This window comes from Homo sapiens, chromosome 12, assembly GCF_000001405.40.
Source record: "Homo sapiens chromosome 12, GRCh38.p14 Primary Assembly".
Lineage (NCBI taxonomy): Eukaryota > Metazoa > Chordata > Mammalia > Primates > Hominidae > Homo > Homo sapiens.
This window is the reverse complement of record NC_000012.12, coordinates 85,457,088-85,481,118: the sequence shown is the minus strand read 5'-3', so window position 1 is coordinate 85,481,118 and position 24,031 is coordinate 85,457,088. Positions and strand designations below refer to the sequence as shown.

General features: G+C 36.2%; 2 long non-coding RNA genes across 3 annotated transcripts in view, besides 1 other annotated feature; one reads left to right on the top strand and one right to left on the bottom strand.

Annotated features, from left to right (window-relative positions):
• Positions 1-24,031, bottom strand: part of LINC02820 (long intergenic non-protein coding RNA 2820) — a 172,109-nt gene that overhangs the window by 9,009 nt on the left and 139,069 nt on the right. The window lies entirely within an intron of this gene.
• Positions 11,484-16,387, top strand: LOC107984537 (uncharacterized). Its single transcript, XR_001749238.2, has 3 exons — positions 11,484-11,543; positions 12,490-12,581; positions 13,275-16,387. It is a non-coding gene; the product is annotated as an uncharacterized LOC107984537 (long non-coding RNA).
• Positions 12,323-12,372: an enhancer, noted in NCBI's record as "active region_6694". NCBI's record gives its function as "activates an Ori minimal core promoter by ATAC-STARR-seq in GM12878 lymphoblastoid cells {active_cell/tissue: GM12878}" and the evidence as "EXISTENCE:reporter gene assay evidence [ECO:0000049][PMID:35858748]".

Below are 24,031 nucleotides of genomic sequence, written 5' to 3'. Positions count from 1 at the left end.
GTATTTTCATAAAATCTATTTATTTCTCATTTTTTTCCATCTCATTGAAAATATCACAGGAGATTGTAAGAATAAAACATTTTGGCAGTTTTGGCCTTGTGAGAAAGCATCTCAGGTTTATAGGTTATAGGTTCTGGCACTTATAAAAACCATATTCCAAGTTAACAAGAGATAATAAGTAAAGTTCCCATTATAGAACTCTCACTATTGAGTCTCCCACCATTAGATTTGCCCATCCTGGGATCTCAGTAGAGACCATGGTGACCAAGTCATACATTTTATTTTCAAATCTTACTTTATTAAATTTTGCTTACCTTTATATCCACACCCAATTTAATACAGTGAAAGTTTATTTTCTATTGTCTTTAACACATCCTTTATCTCTAACACCCCTAAGTATGCTTCTAGAGCCTGCTCGACTATCACCCTCTCAATGTGGCATTATACTACCAATCGCAGCATTCTTTGTCTATTCCTCCTCTGTTTTCCATCAGACTCTATTCATACTTCCAGTGTTGAATTTGTAATGAATAGGATTTATCAGCTTACATGACTGCCTTTCACATAGTAGTCCCTCAAAGAGTATGCTTTATGTGATTACAGGAATAGATGAATAAATGGTTAGCTGGTGATATGGTTTGGTTCTGTGTCCTCTCACAAATCTCATCTTGAATTGTACTCCCATAATTCCCACATGTTGTGGGAGAGACCTGATGGGAGATAATTGAATCATGGAGGTGGTTTCCCCCATACTGTTCTCATGGTAATGAATAAGTCTCACGAGATCTGATGGTTTTATCAGGGGTTTCTGCTTTTGCATCTTTCTCATTCTCTCTTTGCCTGCTGCCATCCATGTATGACGGGACTTGCTCCTCCTTGCCTTCTGCCATGATTGTAAGGCTTCCCAGCCACATGGAACTGTAAGTCCAATTAAACCTCTTTCTTTTGTAAATCACCCAGTCTTGGGTATGTCTTTATCAACACTGTGAAAACAGACTAATACAGTAAATTGTTACCAGTAGAGTGGGGTGTTGCTGAAAATATACCCAAAAATGTGTAAGAAACTTTGGAACTGGGTAAGAGGCAGAGGTTGGAACAGCTTGGAGGGCTCAGAAGAAGACAGAAAAATGTGGGAAAGTTTGGAACTTCCTAGAGACTTGTTGAATGGCTTTGCCCAAAATGCTGGTAGTGATATGGGCAATAAGGTCGAGGCTGAGATGGTCTCAGAGGGAGATGAGGAACTTTTTGGTAACTGGAGCAAAGATGACTCTTGCTATGTTTTAGCAAAGAGATGGGTGGCATTTTGCCCCTGCACTAGAAATTTGTGGAACTTTGACCTTGAGAGAGATGATTTAGGGTATCTGGTGGAATAAATTTCTAAGCAACAAAGCATTCACGAGGTGACTTGGGTGCTGTTAAAAGCATTCAGTTTTAAAAGGAAAACAGAGCATAAAAGTTTGAAAAATTTGCAGCCTGACAATGCGTTAGAAAAGAAAATCCCATTTTCTGAGGAGAAATTCAAGCTGGCTGCAGAAATTTGCATAAGTAACAAGCAGCCAAAAGTGAATCCCTACGACAATTGTGAAACTGTCTCCAGGGCATGTCAGCAGTCTTCACGGCATCCCCTCCCATCACAGGTCCAGAGGCCTAGGGAAAAAAAAGTGGTTTTGAAGGCTGGGCCCAGGGTCCCTGAGCTATGTGGAGCCTAGGGACTTGATGCCATGTGCCCCAGAGGCTCCAGCCATGGCCATAAGGGGCCAATGTAGAGCTTGGTTCTTGGCTTCAGGTGGTACAAGCCCCAAGTCTTGGCAGCATTCACGTGGTGTTGAGCCTGTGGGTACCCAGAAGTCAATAATTGAGGTTTCTGAACCCCCGTCTAGATTTTAGAAGATGTATGGAAATGCCTGGATGCCCAGGCAGAAGTTTGCTGCAAGAGTGGGGCTCTCATGGAGAACCTCTGCTAGGGCAGTGTGGAAGGGAAATGTGGGGTTGAAGCCCCCACACAGAGTCCCTACTGGGGCACTGCCTGGTGGAGCTGTGAGAAGAGGGCCACCATTCACCAGACCCCAGAATGGTAGATCCACTGACAGCTTGCACCATGCACCTAGAAAAGCCACAGACACTTAATGTCAGCCTGTGAAAGCAGCCAGGAGAGAGGCTCTAGCCTGCAAAGACACAGGGGCAGAGGCGCCCAAGACCATGGGAACCCACCTCTTGCATCAGTGTGACCTGGATGTGAGACATGAAGTCAAAGGAGGTCATTTTGGAGCTTTAAGATTTGACTGCCCCACTGGATTTCGGACTTGCATGGACCTTGTAGCCCCTTTGTTTTGGCCAATGTCTCCCATCTGGAACGGTTGTATTTACCCAATGCCTGTACCCCCATTGTGTCTAGGAAATAACTAGCTTGCTTTTGATTTTACAGGCTCATAGGTGAAAGGGACTTGCCTTGTCTCAGATGAGACTTTGGACTGCAGACTTTTGAGTTAATGCTGAAATTAGTTAAGACTTTGGGGGACTGTGGGGAAGGCATGATTGGTTTTGAAATGTGAGGACATGAGATTTGGCAGGGGCCAGGGATGGAATGATATGGTTTGGCTCTGTGTCTCCACTCAAGTCTCATCTTGAAATGTACTCCCATAATTCCCACATGATATGGGAGGGATCTGGTAGGAGATAATTGAATCATGGGGGAGGTTTACCCCATAATGTTCTCATGGTAATGAGTGAGTGTCACGAGATCTGATGGTTTTTCCAGGGGTTTCCGCTTTTGCCTCTTCCTCACTCTCTCTTTGCCTGCTGCCATCCATGTAAGACGGGACTTGCTCCTCCTTGCCTTCCACCATGATTGTGAGGCTTCCCCAGCCATGTGGAACTGTATGTCCAATTAAACCTCTTTCTTTTGTAAATTGCCCAGTCTTGTGTATGCCTTTATCAGCAGTGTGAAAACGAACTAATACAACTTGGCAAGGATCTTCTTTTTCAACTGGGTGTAAACTCATTATGGGTTTAGAATCAGTCCTTCACTGAGCAAATGAAGTTAACTCTGACCAGTAGGCATTTTCTAGATTAAAGTAGGTTTGCTCAGCACTGGCCTTTTGACCACAAAGTGCAATTTCAGTCCAATTTCATTCATTATCTCCTTCTATTATGTTTTTAATATCTATTGGCCACATGATAAATGCAGCAATTATATGCAAATGACTGAGAAAAAAGATCAAAGTGTGTGCCTCTAGCAGAGACATTCATTCATTAAGAGCATGGTGCCAGGTTGCTCGTAACTGTGCTGATTATCTGCTTATGCTTTTAACAAAAGTTCCACAAAACATTCTTATCTATCTTCCTAAAGTCTGTCATTTGGCTTTGTAATTTTTTAGAATGTATTTTTTCAAGAATAGAATGTATACACTCTGGACACCCATGACACTATTATCTGTGCACTGGTAAGAGACATGTGTTCCAGGGAACCAAAACTTTTCAGATTGTATTTCTGAGGATTGTTTCAGATTTTTTATTCAAGAGCAATAGAAAAAAATTTCTGAAATTTGATAGTGCTTAAATATTCATATGTCTTCTCACTCTTAGATGAGTTGATCAACTCAGAAAACTTTATTAGATATTTTATTTATATTTTAATTATTTTTCATATTTCCAAAAGAATATATAATGGAAAAAATATTTCCCCCCCACCCAAGCAGTTCTTTGGGTTAAGAGGCAGACAACTTTCTAATAAATATCTCCATCTAGTGGTACAATTAGAAATATATTAAAGACATAGTTCTATAAGAAAACATTGCTACAAATTCGTTTTCTGTGTTATGTATTAAAAGTAATGGCAGTAACTGCCATTACCTTTGCACCAACCTAATGTTTAAACATGTGTGTGTGTGTGTGTGTGTGTGTGTGTGTGTGTGTATTCAGGAAAGTATCTAGTTAGGAAGTAAAATTCAACCTTCCATATGATAACAATATTTATGCTAAATTTTGTAAAAATGGTTGTACCAAAAATTTAAACATTATTTACTAAATCTGAGACATTTTATTCACTAACTTAACTGATATCTAGCTTATTCATGACCAGCCACCCTGTATATAGCATACACATCAATATCAAAAATAAGGAAGTAAAATTGATGAACTTTTCACATTTTCAAGTTGGGTCAGTTGAGAAAATACTTGACATCACATTTTCTTTTTAAGTTGTGTAATTTGAGAAAATACTTGACAATGGCTTTTCACCATCTAGATTAGATGCAGAAAAATATGCTAAATGTTGAAGCCATTGTTTCTTCCTTGCCTTTCTGTTCCTGTAAACCAGAATTCAAGTTCATAACACAGAACTTCAGAGAGGCATATTGACAAAAAGAAATGTACTAGATGATAAAAAAGTTCTACATTTCAACATGTAAATACTTGGGAACAAATACACTAGATAATGTCCAGATGGGACATTATCTGGATTTATAAATTATATTTGTAGATGAGCTATATTACTTATGAATATTCATTTAGGATATTTGTTATGACAAGGAATTGGATCTGAGAGGAATGAAAATTTCTGCTAGCTCATGCTCTCTTTAATGTGGAAACTTTTCTTCTGAAAGCCTGAGCTGAAGAGACAGATATTTAGAAGATGGCCAACAATTTAACTTGTCGCTACTCAGGAACTCAGGAGTATCTACAATTGTCCTAGATAGCTATTTCTTTTACAATGTTTCTAGGACTGTAGGAGGGCATAATGCTCCTACAAATCAACCTTTTTGTACAAAAGCATTTGCCATATGACTCATAATAAATCCTCCTTCCATAATAATTTATATAATTTATCTGTTTTTTAAAATGTATTTCTACCCTCATCTGAAGGATATAGATGACTGTGAAAGCGGCCATTGCTCAGAAAACAGCTGGAGGACATATTCCCTAGGTATGAAGCTTCTTCACTGACTAGTCAATGTAGACTAAAGAAAAAGATCTCACTAGAAGATTTACACAAATCAGCAGCATCTACTTATTTATGGCTTAATTGCATTTCTAATTAATCTACAAAACACATTTGCCAATCATCTCACATAAACACTCCTAATGTTGCGGAGCTCGCTACTGTGTCAGAGAAGTAAGAAGAGTGTTAATTGATGTGTCCAGTCATCATCAAGGCTATATTTCTACTCTCCTGTACCAAGAAGTGAGAATAGAGAAAATAAAAACAGCACAGGTCAATGTGATCTTCCTGTTCTCTCCCTCTTTCTGTTTTTTTCTTTCTTTTTTTTTTCTCGCTCTCTCTGTTTACCCTTCTTTCTTTCTTTTGTATTTCTCTAATTCCAAGCAGATGGCTAGGGTAAATCAATAACAGAATAAATACTATAAGCTAGGTATGGTGGCTCATACTTGTAATTTCAGCATTTTGGGAGACCTGGGCTGGCAGGGAGTTCTAGACCAGCCTGGGTAACATGGTGAAACCTTATCTCTACTAAAAATACAAAAATTAGCCTGGCATGGTAGTGCACACCTGTAGTCCCAGCTACTTGGGAGGTGGAGGTTGCAGTGAGCCAAGATCACACCACTGCACTCCAGCCTGGGCAACAGAGTGAGACACCATCTCAAAATAATAATAATAATAATAATAATAATAATAATAATAATAAAATATAATAATAATAAAATAATAAAATAAAATAATAGTAATAAAATAAATGCTACAAATATCCTAAAGTCTAACAGTCTAAAAAGATCAATCCAGACCTCGGTATAAATCTATAAAAATATTTAGATTCAAAATATAGTAACAAACTTGGTTGAATTTAGCATTTTAAATAAGGCTTGAAATGAAAACTAGAGGTATATCAGCAGACACTGGTAAAGTGAAGAATATGAAGAAAGATATCAAATGTATTTTATTGTTTACAGTTCTTGAAAATCTTTAAATTGAGGCTTACATTGAAATGTAGTGCTCATTATTATGCATAGATTAGTTTTTATGTAAAATCTAAATTATCTTTAGATTTTACATAAATCTAGATTTATGTAAATAAATAAATCTAGATTTTACACTCAATCATTCCTGTAAGTAGTCCAGCCTTTAAGGTCAGGGCCATAGAGAATGTGCCAGTTTGCACAAAGTTTGCAGGACAAAAGAAATACTGATACTAATTTTGCATTCAGTAAAAATTACAACCATTTCTTGGATTAATAAACTACTAAGGCTTTTTTTCTGGCTTTTAAAAATATTCTCTTTGGGCAGGGCACACTGGCTCATGCCTGTAATGCCAGCACTTTGGGAGGCCAAGGTGGGCGAATCACAGGGACAGGAGCTCAAGACCAGCCTGACCAACATGGTGGTATAATACAAAAGTTAGCTGGGCGTGGTGGCATGAGCCTGTAGTCCCAGCTACTCGAGAGGCTGAGGCAGGAGAATCGCTGGAACTTAGGAGGCGAGGTTGCAGTGAACCGAGATCGTTGCCACTGCGCTCCGGCCTGGGCAACAGAGCAAGACTGTCTCAAGAAAAAAATATATATAAATATCTTTTATTTGCCTCAAATTTGAAATATAAAAAAAAATTGGGAAGTGTTCCCTTAGGCCAAACCAGTCAAACAATTCTAACATTTCTTATATTTTTGCCAAACCCCATTTCAAACAATTAAAGTTTAGAGTTTTGTTCTGTGCTTTCTCCAATTTTGTTGGTCTGGCCTCCAAACATTTTGTAAATATTAGAATTCTGGATATACCAAGTGTCAGACCTCTTTTATCTTGACTCCAGTAAATGATTTTCTAAAATCTTACTTAGCATATTAGTAAATTGAGTAAAACTTTTTCATTTCCATAAATTGTAATTAGTAGGCCATCATCAACTTAGAGAACATGTTCAGGGAAGTGAGGCTGGGTCTGGTATTTTAGACAGTTATTTTTTTCTGATATGAATTATTGAGTACAAAGCATTCTTATTAAAGTTACGACCAGTATCAACTTACCTATTTTAAGGGTGATAGAAATTCAGAATGCCATTGTAAAACAGAGAAGTGGTCAGAAATAAAGAAAGGGAAATAAGTTAACATTATTGCACTATTTGTCTATTCAGGTGCCCACACTTCATAGTACTAATTTAATTTGTTATTTAGGACACTCCAAGCAGGGTTTTTTTTTAATGTGATAACATAAATCTACATTTCAACCCAACCAATGTTTCACTCTGACAAAAAGAAAAAAGAAAAAAAATTCAGTAAGCTGATTTTTCCAAATACATTTGATAGTTCTTAATGCTTTAAAATGAAAATAAAAATAGTATACTGTAGAGTGTGATTAAGAAAACTGATTTATTTTTATTCTCTCATGATATGACTTCTTATTAATTACATAAACCCATGAAGCCACTTTAGAGTATGCCTGTACATTCAAAAAGACTGAAATAAAGTGGAAACATTTTCAATTTAAAAAACTGAAAGAAAAATGTTTCATTTCAATACCTTTAAGACTGAGGATTGGTATTCAAACATATCATCAGCATGAAACTGAGTCAAGACATTTACTTAACAACTTGAAAATTTATCATGATCGATATAATTTATACATTTTTATTGTATATGTTTGATTTCCATTGTCAAAGTTTAAATGAGCTTATTACAAATTATTACATGAAAAAAATTAGGTGGATTGAAGAGGAAGCCCATACTTTATTAATATATCAAATTATTTTCTCAATTTATTTTTCCACAGGCTGAAGGTCACTAATACCCATTAATTCAACTGTGTTTTCTGAATCCTCTTTTTTTAATCACTCCTTATCATTCTGAGGTATTAAAATCTCACTTAATGTTCCAGTCCTGCAACCATTCCAGCTCTGATATCTCTTCCCTACAAATATACAAATAAGAGAGTTCTTTCTCAATTAAATTATGTGCAGAAAATTAGAGTTTTCTTGCTAAGACTCTTAAAGTATAAAAGCAAAGTGACCCAGCATATGTGCATTTACTAAAAACTACATAAAGAGGGTTAATTGGAAAATACGAATGCCTTCCACCTAGAGACCCTACTGTACTATTCAAGACACTCTGTTCTGATACCCTACTGAATGCTTAATATGCTTTACAAACATTGTATAATTGAAACCTCGCCAGCACTTTGTAAGACTGAATATTATCATCACAATTTTACAGTTGAGAAAAATGAGGCTTATAGAGTTTTAATAATTTGCTCAAGATATACAAGTAGACTGTACTAGAGAATGTTTACAGCACTATCCAGAGGAAGAAATGAGTGAAACCCAAGACAGGGCTCCTGCCTTTCAGGATGTACCATTACCTAAATAATGCCATAGATAGCACTGCTTTAGGTTAAATAATCTCATTATTTTTCCCCTCTTTCTAGATATGAAATGTTTCATCATTATTCTCATAATTTGACTATAGGGGTAAACAGCAAAATTAAGGCAGACTTTTTTTAAAAAAATGAAACAAATAAAAAGACACAACATACCACAACCTCTGGGATGGAGCAAAAACAGTGTTAAAAGGAAAGTTTATAGCACTAAATGCCTATATCAAATCGATAGGAAGATCTCAAATTAACAACAGCATTCTCCCTAAGAACTGGAAGAAGATAAGGACATCCACTCAGCTGCGCCTACTGAACATACTATTGGAGGTCTTATGCAGAGCAACTAGGCAAAAGAAAGAAACAAAAGCCATCCAAATAGGAAAAGAGAAAGTCAAATTATCTCTGTTGGCTGATGACATCATCCTAGAAATCCTAAGATAACTAGAAAACCCTAAAGAGTCCTCTAAAAGCCTCCTACAGCTGAAAACCAACTGCAATGTTTCAAGACACAAATCAATGTACAAAAATCAACAGCTTTCTATACACAAGTAACCTTCAAACTGAGAATCGAATCAAGAACTCAATCCCATTTACAGTAGCCACACACATACAAATAAAATATCTAAGAGTATATTTAACCAAGGAGGTGCAAGATCTCTACAAGGACAACTACAAAACACTGATGAAAGAAATTATAAATGAAACAAACAAACGGAAAAACAGCCCATGCTATAGATCGGAGGAATAAATATTAAAATGATGATATTGCCCAAAGTAATCTACAGATTCAATGCAATTTCTATCAAATTAAAAATGTCACTATTCACAGAATTAGAAAAAAAATTCTAAAATTCACATGGAACTGAAAAGGAACCCAAATAGCTTTAAAAACAAACTAACTAACAAACAAAAACAACAAAACCAGTGGCAGTGGTATCACATTACCTGACTATACTATTAGGTATATCTGCTGACTATATATTACCTATAGCGATATACAAGGCTACAGTAACCCAAACAGCAGGGTACTGTTACAAAAATAGACACATACATCAATGGCACAGAATAGAGAACCCAGAAATAGCCACACATCTACAACCAACTGATTTTCAATAAAGCTGACAAAAATGAGCAATGGGGAAAAGGCATACTATTCAGTAAATGATGATGTGAAAACTGGCTAGCAATTTGCTGGAAAATGAAACTGGACCCCTTCCTCTCACCATATATAGAAATTATAAACAAACTCAAAATGTATTAAAGACTTAAATGTAAAACCTCAAACAATAAAAATCCCAGAAGGAAACCTAGGAAAAACTCTTTTTGACATTGGCCAAGGCAAATAATTTATGACTAAGACCTCAAAAGCCATTACAACAAACACAAAAACATTGACAAATGGGACCAAAGTGCTTCGGCACAGCAAAAGAAATGATCAACAGAGTAAACAAACAGCCTACAGAATGGGAGAAAACATTTGCAGTCTATGTATCTGACAAAGGACTAATATCCAGAATCTATATGTAACTTAAAGCAGAAAGAAAAAAGATAACCCCATTAAAAAGTGAGCAAAAAACATGAATAGGCATTTCTCAAAATAAGACATACAAGCAGTCAACAAATAGATGAAAAGATGCTCATCATCACTAATCATCAGAGAAATGCAAATTAAAACCACAAAGCGATACCATCTCACACCATTCACAATGGCTACTATTAAAAAGTCAAAAAAAAAAAAAAACAGATGTTGCTGAGGATGGAGCAAAAAAGAACATTTGGTAGAAATGTAAACTAGTTCAGCGTTTACAGCAAGTAGTATAGTATTTCTCAAATAACTAAAACAAACAAACAAACAAACAAAAAAGCTACTATTTGACCCAGCAATTCTACTACTAGGTATCTACCTGGAGGAAAAATGAATCATTTCACCAAAAAGACACTTGCACTCTCATGATATTGCAGCACTCTTTGCAATAGCAAAGTCATGGAATCAACATAAGTGTCCATCAAAAGTGGACTGAATAAAGAAAATGTGGTACATACACACTCTGGAATACAGCATAACTATAAAAAAGAACAAAATCATGTTACTTGCAGCAACATGGATGCAGGGGAGGCCATTATCCTAAGTTAATTTTTGCAGAAACAGAATATCAAATACCGCGTGTCCTCACTTGTAAGTGGGAACTAAACAACGGGTACACGTGGATATAAAGACGGAAACATCAGCACTGGGGACTCCAAAAGCGGGGAGGAAGACAGGAGGGCAAGGTTTGAAAAAACTACCAGTTGGGTATGATGTTTCGTATTTGTGTGGTGAGGTCAATAGAAGACCAGACCCCAGCATTATGTAATATATCCGTTTAACAAATCTGAACATGCATCCCTGAATCTGACGTAATACAAAAATAAAATACAATATTTTTTAAAAATATAAAACTATCTTATTCCAAACCCCTAATCACTTCTTCTGAAAATATGTCTTTTAATTAAAGTCATAAGATGTAATAGCGAATATGAAACATAACCAAAATTATTATTAAAACTTAGTTTGTATAGTAGAGAGAGTCAAGGAAGATGACCAATGAAAATGGGTAGCACAGCGGGCTGTGCTGTTTAAGAGTTGGAAGAGAAGAGAGGCTACTGGTGAAAATAGAGTTGTCTCAGTGAGAGCTATAGTAAGACCCAAGCTCTGTCTCTGGGAAAGAGGTACTTTGCTCCTTCTGGGCTGTTTAATTTACCACAACAAATAGTAGGAGGACCCAATAAAGGCATTCACCTGCTTACTACTGTTTGCCTACATTATAAGGTAACCCCCAATGTATTACAATATAATTAAGTCAGATTCAACAGTAAAGTACATATCTTAATTTCTGAAACAGTGTAAAACTCTGTAGTACTTCTAACTGTGTGGGAAAGAAAGAGAGATCAGACTGTTACTGTGTCTGTGTAGAAAGAAGTAGACGTAAGAGACTCCATTTTGTTCTGTACTAAGAAAAATTCTTCTGCCTTGAGATGCTGTTAATCTGTAACCCTACCCCCAACCCTGTGCTCCCTGAAACATGTGCTGTGTCAACTCAGGGTTAAATGGATTAAGGGCTGTGCAGGATGTGGTTTGTTAAACAAATGCTTGAAGGCAGCATACTTGTTAAGAGTATCACCACTCCCTAATCTCAAGTACCCAGAGCACAATACACTGGAGAAGGCCGCAGGGACCTCTGCCTAGGAAAGCCAGGTACTGTCCAAGGTTTCTCCCATGTGATAGTCTGAAATATGGCCTCGTGGGAAGGGAAAGACCTGACCATCCTCCAGCCCGACCCCCATAAAGGGTCCCTGCTGAGGAGGATTAGTAAAAGAGGAAGGAAGGCCTCTTTGCAGTTGAGATAAGAGGAAGGCATCTGTCTCCTGCTCCTCCCTGGGCAATGGAATGTCTCCCTGTAAAGCCCGATTGTATATTCCATCTACTGAGATAGGGGAAAACTGCCTTAGGGGTGGAGGTGGGAAATGCTGGCAGCAATACTGCTGTTTAAGGCATTGAGATGTTTATGTATATGCACATCAAAAGCACAGCACTTTTTATCTTGTTTATGATGCAGAGACATTTGTTCACATGTTTTCCTGCTGACCTTCTCTCCACTATTACCCTATTGTCCTGCCACATCCCCTCTCCGAGAAACACCCGATAATGATCAATAAATACTAAGGGAACTCAGAGGCCAGTGCCGGCGCGGGACCTCCGTATGCGAACGCCGGTCCCCTGGGCCCATTTTTCTTTCTCTATACTTTGTCTCTGTGTCTCTTTCTTTTCCAAGTCTCTCGTTCCACCTGATGAGAAACGCCCACAGGTGTGGAGGGGCAACCCACCCCTTCACTAACCAGCCAAGTAAATAATGAAACATAAATTATGACTCAGCTTTTGCTTCACTGTAAAAATCCTGCATTTATGGAAACTGGAAGCAAAGCTAACCTAAGCGTGCCATCTAGTGGAATGATCCAGCATGACCACAACAGGTTGTTCGCTCTCCCTGGATTTTTCTTAAAATGATGAAAATAAATTGGAGGGAGTCAGCCATGCAGAAATGGGATGCTCTAGCTAATACTTGGCAATTAAAGAAAGAAGTTTAAGCCTAGAAGTAAAGATGGGAGGGAATGCTAATCATTGTCTCCTTTCTCCCCCACAGAAAAACTCACTACCCAGCCCACAGGCAGAGAAGGGAGTGGAGGCGGCCAGCGGTGTGTCTCAGAAGAGCTGTAAATACTGTGCTGACACAGGGTGAGAAGGACCTTCCCACTGTGCTCACATTCCAGGGTAGGAGGGTCCTCTCATGGTGATGACTCCTGTGAAGGGGAAGATGGGACAAAGAAAGAAGTAGGAGTTGAGGGGGGTTGGGAGGAGTGCAGCTTTCCCTTAAAGAATTTGATAGTGATATAGATATGACTGCAATAATGATAATTTTGAAATGGCAGCTATGGAATATACAAGAGAAAGGAGGGCCTGATTGGAGATTAAACATCTAATAATTGCCCTGGGGCAAGAGTTGGAGGGAAGATTCTGAAACAATGTTTAGAATCCCATTTATACACCAAGCACTCCTGCATGGGGCAGGATTTTGGTAAACCCCAGGTATGTATACCCCAAAGTATGCATGTAACCACAACTTGAGGCCTTATTTACATAAGTGCCTGTATTACTTAAATAAGTTCAATACATCAAAAAATAAGTATGAGGCTTTTGTCAACTCTGTCATTACCTAAACTTGATCCAGATAGCTAAAAACAGAAGTTCTCTCTTGCTACTTTATAAATAGACTTCATAAAGAAATACAGCCCAAACTTTAATGCATACAGATATCCCTATAAAATACTTATTAGAAATGTGGTTTTGCAGGTTCCATCTGTGAGATTTGAGGGTTGATCTGAGGTAGAACTCAAGGATTTGAATTTAAAAAAGCACTCTTTGCTTCAGGTTGCATGTAACCACAATTGGAGAAATGCTTTCTACTAAGCCAAAGGTAAATTGGCACTGCCAATTGCTACTTCACAGAAAGTAAAAATGATGTTGAGAGGAAAGCAAGGAAGTATGGGATCTTGTGCTGCTGTTGTTACCTGGCTGCTCCAAAGAACCATAAGATTATAACCAACTCATCTTGGTTTGCCTGGGATTTTCCTGGTTTATCACTGAAATTCCTGTATCCTGGAAGACCCTTGAGCCCCAAGCAAACTAGGACAGTTGGTCACCTACTGAAGAAACTTCCTTAAAAAAGAGTTTGCACAGTTGTAGCTACCAGAAGAAAGCTCAGCAAAGATTCAAAGTCCTTCTAAAATGATCCAGATTGAGAATACCAGCTGCTGGGGAATCATTATTAGGCATTACATCAAGAGGAGGCATCAAAAATCCAACAGGAGAAGCTACCTTTGCTAACAATAGCGAAGAGGCAGAATTCAGAATTCTTACTGATTGGAGTCATCACAAGATTATATTATATTACATTATTATATTAGATTAGATGGTTTCTCCTGCTAGAAGCAACTTTTATTTTTTTTAACTTTAGCAGTCTTTTATTTCCAAAATGAGTAAATCAATGGACAAAAAAGAAATAGGAAGAAAATGAATTTGGCATAACTCATTACTAGAAAAGCAATGTTCATTTTGAATAATGGGAAACTGAATTTGTGTGAATTTGTGTGACATCATCCAAAGCCTCCAATTTCACCAATGTCATTCCTTTGCATCTGAGTCACACAGTTGGTAGTTTTTCACTTTAACTCTTCCAAAATAAAAGTAAATAAAAATATTCTATTAGGAAACCTGATAAATTTTGAAACCCAAAAGCTCAAGCCAGTTCTATAGACCTTGAATTTTTCAACCTAGCACTAAAATTGTCAGTAATGGATTGGATAGAATACAGGCTTACACAGAAACAAACATGGTTGACTTTTTCCAGACACAGAAAATAAGGTTACCAATGTTATAAAATCTCTAAGTTGTATCTACTTGGAGATACTGTGCTTGATATCAGTGGTCCCGATTTCATTAGGAGAAATCTGATCATCTTTCTGGAATTGAAAACTGGAAATGGCCCAGCTGGATTTCCTTTTAGAAGACACAAGGTTTCTTGAAATGAGCTATCCAAAAGTAAGATATTCCTTTCTTGCACCAGTAAAGACTGAATGAGCCTGAACAGGTGTTGCATAAATGACCACTTGATCACCCAAATGCATGAGCCTCTCTTCTTTCTGGATACAAGGTCAAGCCAAATCATGTTTTCTTGCCTCCCTTTTACTTATGTGTGGCCATGTACTAAATTCTAGCCAAAAGAAAGGAAGCAGAAATGATATGTGCTACTACCAAGATTGGACTATGAAAACCTACTACACATTCTCCTCAATGTATGCTTCACTTCAAGTCTACCAAGATGGTGGCTTACAGGGTATCGAAATCTGCTGAAGATGAGAGAACCTGCATTCACCTGGGAGCCCGAATGACTGTTAAGAAGGTCGCCTGTCCAGTTGATCACTTGACTGGTTTATGTGGGGAAAAATATATTCAGCAAGAGCTGATATGGTTTCAGGAGTATTGCTAGAGAAGTTAGCCTACTTTCACCAATTTGAACAAAAGCCGAAGATAGGCTGCATTATGAAGGCACTGTTTCTAGGGCTTGCTGTAAAAGATGATATCCAGGTAATGAGCATTCGTGAGGGCAGGTGATGCCTTTTGCTATGTGCCATGTCAATGCACAAGACAGACATACTTTCTCTAAGGCAGTCTATTTCCAGCAGAGAGTTTTCTTAAGTGTGAAAAGATATTGCAGTAGACAAGCAAGATTTCTTTTTATTTCTGCTAAAGGTAATAAACATTAAGGTCTCATTTTAAAAAATATAAATAAATTGAATTATAGGTGAAAAGGAATGCATCATGCTGCTACTTAACATTTCTTTGATTTCCCCAAATGGAAATTATGATTAAGCCTAAGTTTTAAGTTATAAGTCATTTGAGACGCTTCTGAATGTTGTCTCCAAATTTGTCTCCATATTTGAAGAACTATGTATTTCTCCAAGGACTCATAAAGTGGAGAGCGGTCAAATGTGCCAACAGCCTAAGAAAAGGAAAACTTTTAAGTGAAGGAAATGTTGCTAATAAGTGGAAAGGTTACGTTTTATTGAGTATACACATTTATGGTCATAGTTTTAAGTTTCGCTTCAAGCAGCATTGCCAAGATTAAAGTTATAATTAAATCCCCATTTTATAAAGATGTCAGTTAGTTTTTTCAGTGATTTTATGATTTAATTAAGGACTAGGACAACTTATTGCAAGCATGAGTAGTTTTAATAGTAAAATATAGTTTAGATTACTAACTTGATGTTCCAGAGGGACTGCTTCCTTGTGAAAGGGTAATTCACTGTAAGACTTCCTTATGTTCAAACCTGTTCTCTCTTCATGCAGTGTATTTTATGACTCAGTTTTGTGGTTTCCACATACAACTATCCTAATAGCAGCTGCTTCCCAACCTCCCCCCACCACACACACACACACACACACACACACACACACACACGTTTTTGTCTTACAGATTTAGTTCTTTACTTGTGGTGAAACTATTAGAATAGAGGCAAAATGCTACATGAATCTACAAAGATATACGTCTTCTAATGAAAATAGTAATTACTTTTTCATAATTTCACAAAATGAATAAGCCTAAACAAACAAGACACATGCAATGACCAGAGGAAAAAAGAGGCAATTCCTAAAACACATGTACAAAGCTTCGTTTACACTGAGCTCCGGCCTTTTTTTGCCTCTTAAGGAAATTTGTTTCAGTGGAGGAGTTGTGAGAGTACTTGTCACATACAGGTATCAGCTTTTTCCTACCACAAAGGAAAGAAAAAGAAAAGAAGCTGATGAACCTGATTAATAATAATTTAGGGTGGCAGACGTAGAAGGGAGTCAGAGATTCATCCAGTGCATTTTTATAATCTAATATTGGACAAAACTAAATACACGTACAGGATCACAAGATGCCTTAACGGAGTCTATATTGGACATACAAAGACTTGATGATTAAAGCTCTTAAAAACAGACATCTGGTAAATCTATGACTGGTAAGTGTGTGTGTGTGTGTGTGTGTGTGTGTGTGTGTGTGTGTGTGTGTGTGTAGAGAGAGAGAGAGGGAGATAGAAAGAGAGCAGAGGGAGAGCGCACACACATACAACAGTCTGTGGCTTGGATGGTCTAGGCACTTGGAGGATATGCAAAGTATGAACCTAAATTTTAAGAACCCTCTACCAAATTGGGAAACAAGACTCATGCAATGAAACAATAAAGTAATACAAGAAAATAAGATGTGATTTAATGGCAAAACAAAACAACATGTTATTGGGGGAAAAATAAAAGAGCACTTCCTATTATATAAAATTTGAAGCTGTTAGTCAGCTCTGCAGTACCTAGTTCTTTGACACTGATAAATTTCCTTAAATTTTCTAAGGTATTAAACTACATGATCTCCAAAATTCCGAATTTCCTTAGATTATCTAAGGTATTGGACTACATGATCTCTGAAATTCCTTACGCCTGGAAATTCTAAGACTTTAATTTTAAAGATAATCAGACTAGGAAGTGAACAAATGTGTCCTCAGAGGGAATAGGACATGAAATGAGCCTCAAAGAAAAAATAGGTTTCACAAAGTGTTCAAGGACAAGGTAGGCATCCAAACATGAAATGAAAAAAAAAAAAAAACCACAAAATATATATCTGATATGATGAATGATGTGGCATGTCCACTTTTCCATGACAAGTCATCTGAGTGGAACACATAATCCATGTCAGAGGCAGTCGCCACATATTAGATCTTGGCATGTTTTGAAAACCAGGGTGAGAATTTGACCATCACATTTAAAAGGTGATAGGAGGAACACAGCTGGAAAATGACAGAGAAAGAACCAAATGTTGAGGAAGAAGTTGAGGTAATGAAATGAAACAGAATTAATAGAGAACCAAAATGATACCACAATGGTCTGGGGATAGTGTTGAAAAGAATAGCCAATCAAATAGTAGGTTTTTGAATAAAAATATAAATGTGTCAAATGAGATAGAGACATACTGGTTCCAAGCTATTCCCAAGTCAAAAGAAAATGGAAATTTAAAGCGGTGCTGTGCTTGCTTACTTCATAAACAAAGAGAAGACTATTGTAATCAGTAGCACCTTTGCTTCCTCCATCCCGTGTCCATATAAAAGCAGTCATTGGCACAACCACTGTTATTGCCAATAGAAGGGAGAAACATAAAATAAAATAAAATAATAATTACATGTAGTTTCTAAATGTTTGCAATTTATGTATTCAAAACTGAATATATTTTTATAACAAAAATTAATTTTAAAAAGGGAGTGTTTAACATAGGCACTGATTAAAATAATGATGTGTATAAGGCAATGCTAGCCATATCATTATGGGTGAGAAGTTTTGTGCTATAGTCAATAATCTGATTTTTTAAATCTTTAAATTTCCCATAGCTTCAGGCATGAAAGGAGGACTTTGTGTGTATCAGCGGAAGAAAGAGAGGGAGGTTCTTGCCGTTACACTGCAGAAATTAACAAAATTTGGCCTACTCAGAGGCAGTTAAGCGAAGAACATCATGATTACTTATAGTTTGTGGAAACAAAAATAAAAGCCACTATGCTATAAAAGAAACAAAATTAATCTGATGCAGAGGAGCAAAGAGAATTTAACACTTCCTGTATGTGAAAAACTGCTAAGCCAAAATTGGTTAGCAGCCGTTGTTTTCTGTAGACAGGAAGCAAGAATTAACTTAAATTGTAGCTTGCTATTAAGTTAAATATAAGGAAGTGTTCATTTACTATGCAAATTATTTCCAAATACAGGAAAGAAATACAAAACATGAGAAAATTATGGAATGAGTTTTCATAGCCATACTAAGAAATGGAAAAGTAAGAAGTAAGTCGCCTTTCTGAGATGTGAATCTGTCAAATGTAAAACATTAGAAGAAAAGCACTTAGAGATTTGGATGAGAAATATTAAATGAGAAGCCTGCATAAGGAAGAGTGACAAAGTATAAAGAATTAGAAATTAATATTAAATACATTATTATATTCAAAATACTTCCCCCTAAGAAATTAAGATAAATGGTTCATGTTTATTTTATCTATTCATTATAAAAATTTTAAACAATGCAGTAAAGAATAACAGTTTTTAAATTAAACACAACAAAACTTAGTTAAGCCACAAACAAATGACACAAACTACCACAATCCAGAAATAACTATTTTTATCATTAGGTAAATATCATTACAAATATATATATATATTATTGACATAATAGATACAATTTTTTTACTCCTAGTGAGGTATAATCGACATACAACAAACTGCACATATTTAAAATGTACAATGTGGTAAATTTGAGACGTGTAAACCCATGAAACCATCACCACAGTCAATATATTGATATATGAGAAAAGTTTTGGGGGTAATAGATATCATTATTTTGATTATGTATTTAACAGACATTAAACATATTTTTAATAAACGTTAATTAACCATTCTAAAAATCCTACAAGTGTGGTGTTATTTTATCCCCACTTAAGAAAACTAAAGCCTAGTTGGGTTAAGTAAACTGCTTAAAGTCACAAAACTAGTAAGTACCAATCTGAACTTGAACCCAGGCATTCTGGAATATAAATAAGCAAATATAATGTCTGTAGGTATATACTTACAGAAATGGTATAGAGATTACAGAATAAATTCTTATAAACAATAACAAAATAAAAAGGAAATTGTGTTTCTAATTTGGTTTATTTAGCAACCCTTAAGGGCTTAAAGGCGAAGATATTACTTAACTCTAATGGAAAGGCCATGTAAGATATTGGCTGGGCATACTGCTACCTTCTGGGAAGCTCTCTGTAAAGGTGAGTTTAACTGTGAGATGGGGACAGTACATCTCAGGTGAGTAACTGTGAGGTGGGGATCTAATTCATAGGGAGAAATTTAAGTGTAAGTCAATGATTTAAATCACTTAAAATTTTGCCTACCCACCCTCCCCGACCCAGGGAACATTGAGCAATGTCTGGAGACATGTTTGGTTGTGACAACTTGGGGACATTTCTGCCATCAAGTGCCAGAAGTAAGGATCTTGCTAAACATCCTGCAATGCACAGGACAGCCCCCTACAAAAAAGAGTTATTTGGCCCCAAATGCCAACGGTAGCACCGTTGAGCAGGTCCTGAATGAGGAGAAGCCATGAGTCAGCCAAAGCCATGGACACAACAAAAGAGAGTAGGGACATTTAGCCTGTAGAGCACTAACAGTAAAAGCCAAAACAGACAGAAGCTTAGCTGACTGTCCACAGTGGCAGAGGTCTTGTATGGAACAACGGAAGCCTACTTTTTAGAAGAAAATGGGTCGTCCAAAGGGAATCAAGTCTCTAGAACTATCCTGAACCGTGACTCATATTGAAGTTCTCCCCAAAACCTGCTGAGACATGTTCCTTTTCCTTACTGACGAACCTGTAAAATAAACTCCTCTTACCTGTTATACAGTAAGTATGCCTCTTTTATATTTTTGTATGCTGAAATATCCTAAAAGAACCTCCAAGTTTAATTATTTATGTATTATAGTCTTATGCTCTTTAGTATTGAATATACATTTAAATACTAATAAAATATTTTACCCAAATCATTTATTCATTTCTCAGAATATATTCAAGTTGGTTCCCATATATATTGTTTTCCTGTACATGGTAAAATTAAACTTATAGTACTGGCATTGATCCTTAAACAGGATATTCAAGAGCTGTTGAGTTAAAATAATTAAGATTATTTAATATGAAGATGGACACAGGTTACTCTGTCAACTACCTGTATTTAAATATTATCAATGACTGAAATTAGAAGAGTCATTTCATAAAACTCTTTATAATTAAAAAATAATATTGTCTTAGAAAATATACATAATATGTATAATTTTTAATGTAAGTTTATAAGAAAGGTTCACACTTTCAATATAGTCTCAATTTTTTAAGTCTTCAATGAAATTTTATGATTTTGGTAGATTAAATGATTAAATAATCTCAATTCTCTCTTTGAGATAGGCCTGTCAAATTCTTCTGTATCTGTTTATAATCATTTATTATAGTGTAATTGTTTCAAATACACCTGAAATTATAATTTAGCATATCATTTGAAGTTACAATTTATTAGTAAATATAACAAAGCCTAATATAGAATGAATTCTCAGTTATAATCTAACACTTACTAAATGTATGAGCATGAGCAAATTATATAATCTCCATAAATCTAAAGATGTATTTTCTATAAAATATGGACAATAGAGCCTATGTTATAGTAGTTGTTAAAAAATTAAGATAATGCATGTAAAGCATAAGATTATGGACAAATGTTATCAATTATTATTGTTGTTTATACTTCTAATATCATGACATCAGAAAAATACTTTTTTTAAGTGAAAAGTTCATTCAATTAAATGACAACAGCTGCAAAGAATACAACTAATTTATTATGTTTTTGTAATTCTATAGATTATTTTAAATTTGAATCATCATATAAATTAGATAACAAAATTCTAAAGTTGAAAATAAGTGACCTAGTTTTAAGTATGACCCCATTTACTTACTGGAAGCTTACAAAATGAAAGACCAGCAAGAACTAATTCTGACAATGTTTCTTTTTAGTCTGACAGCGGGAAAGAACTTGAGCCACAAAAGTACAATTTTCAATGATAGTAGAAGTCAAATTCAATTTCCATATGACAGATAAAGATTAAAAGGTGGTTGTCTCTAAAAATTAAAATTTAGTGTTTAGTGCAAAATACAGTGTTTATGAAGGCAATTGCTCCAAACACTGTGACAGATGTATAAAGCACTGATACTGATTTCTACACCCAAGTCAGAGAATAAATACCAATTGCTACAAAGAGAAGACAATGAAAAACACTAATTGTCATAGCAATGACAGCCCATGGGCTGAGCTGGACTTGCCATTTTAGAAAAATAAGTGAAAATCTGAGTAATATTAAGGTGCCAGCAGGGACCCAGGGACCATAGATAGAGCTCTAAAACTATCCAACGGAAATGTTAGGGGCAGGGGTTTAGGGAGACATCTATGTGAGTTTAGAAATAATTTAAGAGTTATAGAATAGAAAGAAGTAAGGCCAGGCGCGGTAGCTCATGCCTGTAATCCCAGCACTTTGGGAGGCTGAGGCGGGTGGATCATGAGGTCAGGAGATCGAGACCATCCTGGCTAACACGGTGAAACCCCGTCTCTACTAAAAATATAAAAAAATTAGCCGGGCATGGTGGCAGGCGCCTGTAGTCCCAGCTACTCGGGAGGCTGAGGCAGGAGAATGGTGTGAATCTGGGAGGTGGAGCTTGCAGTGAGCCTAGATCGCGCCATTGAACTCCAGCCTGGCAGCCTGGGCAACACAGCGAGACTCCATCTTGGGAAAAAAAAAAAAAACAAAGAAAGAAAGAAAGAAAAATAAGTAAAGAAGACTTGTCATTTATGTATGACTCCATTGCTTTTTTAGGATTCCTTTTTTTGTGACCTATAGAAACACACACACAAATATACACAAATGAAAAAGAATTTTCTATGATTTTAGCCAGAGAAAAACTGTGGCAAAGTGAGTCATTAAATTACTTTCATTTGGCGAGACAGAAAGAAACTCCAGCTATTAAGTTTTTGGACTGTTATTCCAGTGTGCTACAGCTAAGTGACTGTTTTTTTTGTTTGTTTTTTTTTAAGAGCTCAGTTTCTTCTTAGTGAAAGAAGATTGTTCAGTGTGTTCAAAGTAATTGTCAGGCAATTATGTTATTTAAAATCTTTCAGAAGGTGCTTTCCTGAACAATTTAACGATTTAGGAAAAAAATCTAATTTCAAACTCCAGATTAAATTGTTAAAGTTCTAAAATATTCCAATCAGATCTGGAAGGATAGTCTTATTCTTTTCTATTTTCAATAGAGATATTTTAAGGAAGGTGTATTCTGTACCGTGATCTCCCTATATTCTAAAATGAATTGACCTGACACTTGTCAAGTTAGGGCCAAGCTCAAACCCCAGAGCCTCTTTGTATTTCTGTATTTAAAGATGTAACAGTGTAAGAATATGTGTTATAAATGTAACTGACTACCCAGAGGGAAAGTACCTTGAATATTTTCAATGAGAAAAAAACTATTTTTCTCTTTCTTTTTATCTAGTACTTGTTTTTAATTTGTACTTCATTGAATAATTGTTTCAACCATTCAAGTATTTTTTTAGCTACTCAAAATTCATGACTTTAATATTTTATATTCTAGTCAAGGATGGAAAAAAACATAAACACAATGCAAAATAAAAACACTTTTTAAGCAATATGCTGAAATACACTTAACTACGAAGTGTAATATTAACTGTAAAGATGGAGCAATTAAGTCTTCCTAGTGGAAGAAATGGTGTCTTAGAAAAGATTCATTTGATCTTGATCTGGTTTTAAAAACTAGTCATTCCCACTTACAAGTAGAAGGCGAACAATGAGAACACATGGATACAGGGAGGGGAACAACACACACTGGGGCCTGTTGGCAGGGGAGGAGGGGTGGGGGAGAGCATCAGGAAAAACAGCTAATGCATTCTGGACATAATACCCAGGTGATGGGTTAACAGGTGCAGCAAACCACCGTGGCACACGTTTACCTGTGTAACAAACCTGTGCATCCTGCACATGTGGCCCACAATTTAAAATTTTTATTAAAAGGCGGGAGAAACATATTTAATGCAATAAAGCTAGTTTAATTCTTGGGTTCATGCCAAAACACTTATTGATTTATTTCCTTCAGGCAAGCATTGTTCTTGGCATGGAGATAAAACTATGAACAAAATAGAGTTCCAATTTTAAATAAGTTATATTCTGTTGGTGAAAAACAAGGAACAAAGAAATAAATAGGGAATGTGTTAGGTAGTGAAAAGTGCCACAAAATGACACGAAATAAAATCAAACAGGTAACAGGATAGAGCATATCATAGGTAGGATTGCTATTTAGGCAGAGAGGTCAAGGAAAGCCTTTCAAACTGGCCTTTGAGAAGATGCCTAAAGAAAGTGAGATCAACTCATGTGAAGATAGTATATGTGGGAAGTGCATTCAAGAAAGAGAAGGGTAAGAACAAAGACCCTGAGGTCTTTGTGGACATCTTTGAGGAACAGGTAGTACAAAATAACGAAAACAATGTCTAAGTTTAGTTTTGGCTGCAGAGTGGTTAAGGTAGGCTGGAGGTAAGGATAGTAAAGTACATTTCAGATAAGTTGTGTATCATGTCCTAATTTTACTTATGAAAGGAATATGATCTTTGTCGTACAAAGAAAACTAGTGGCAATATAATCAATCTCATTGGTTATAAAATATTCAGTGGAGTACCTAAGTGAGCATACTCTAGAGACAGAATGCCTACATTAAACTTCAAAAGGCACCATGCAATCTTGGACAAATTTACCTCACTTGTATGCCAACATTTTCTCTCTATAACATCACTGAAATGAGGTATCTGCAGGATTGTTGTGCATGTAAAGGCTTGATATGAAACCTGACATCTGTTAGATAAGCAAAAACAAAAGAAGAAATTCTCCATTATCTTACCACAAAATGCTGAAATGGGAGAGTTCCCATTATCCCCTTCTCAGGGCATGCAACATGGGTGTGGTTTGCTTCTTCAGTGCCC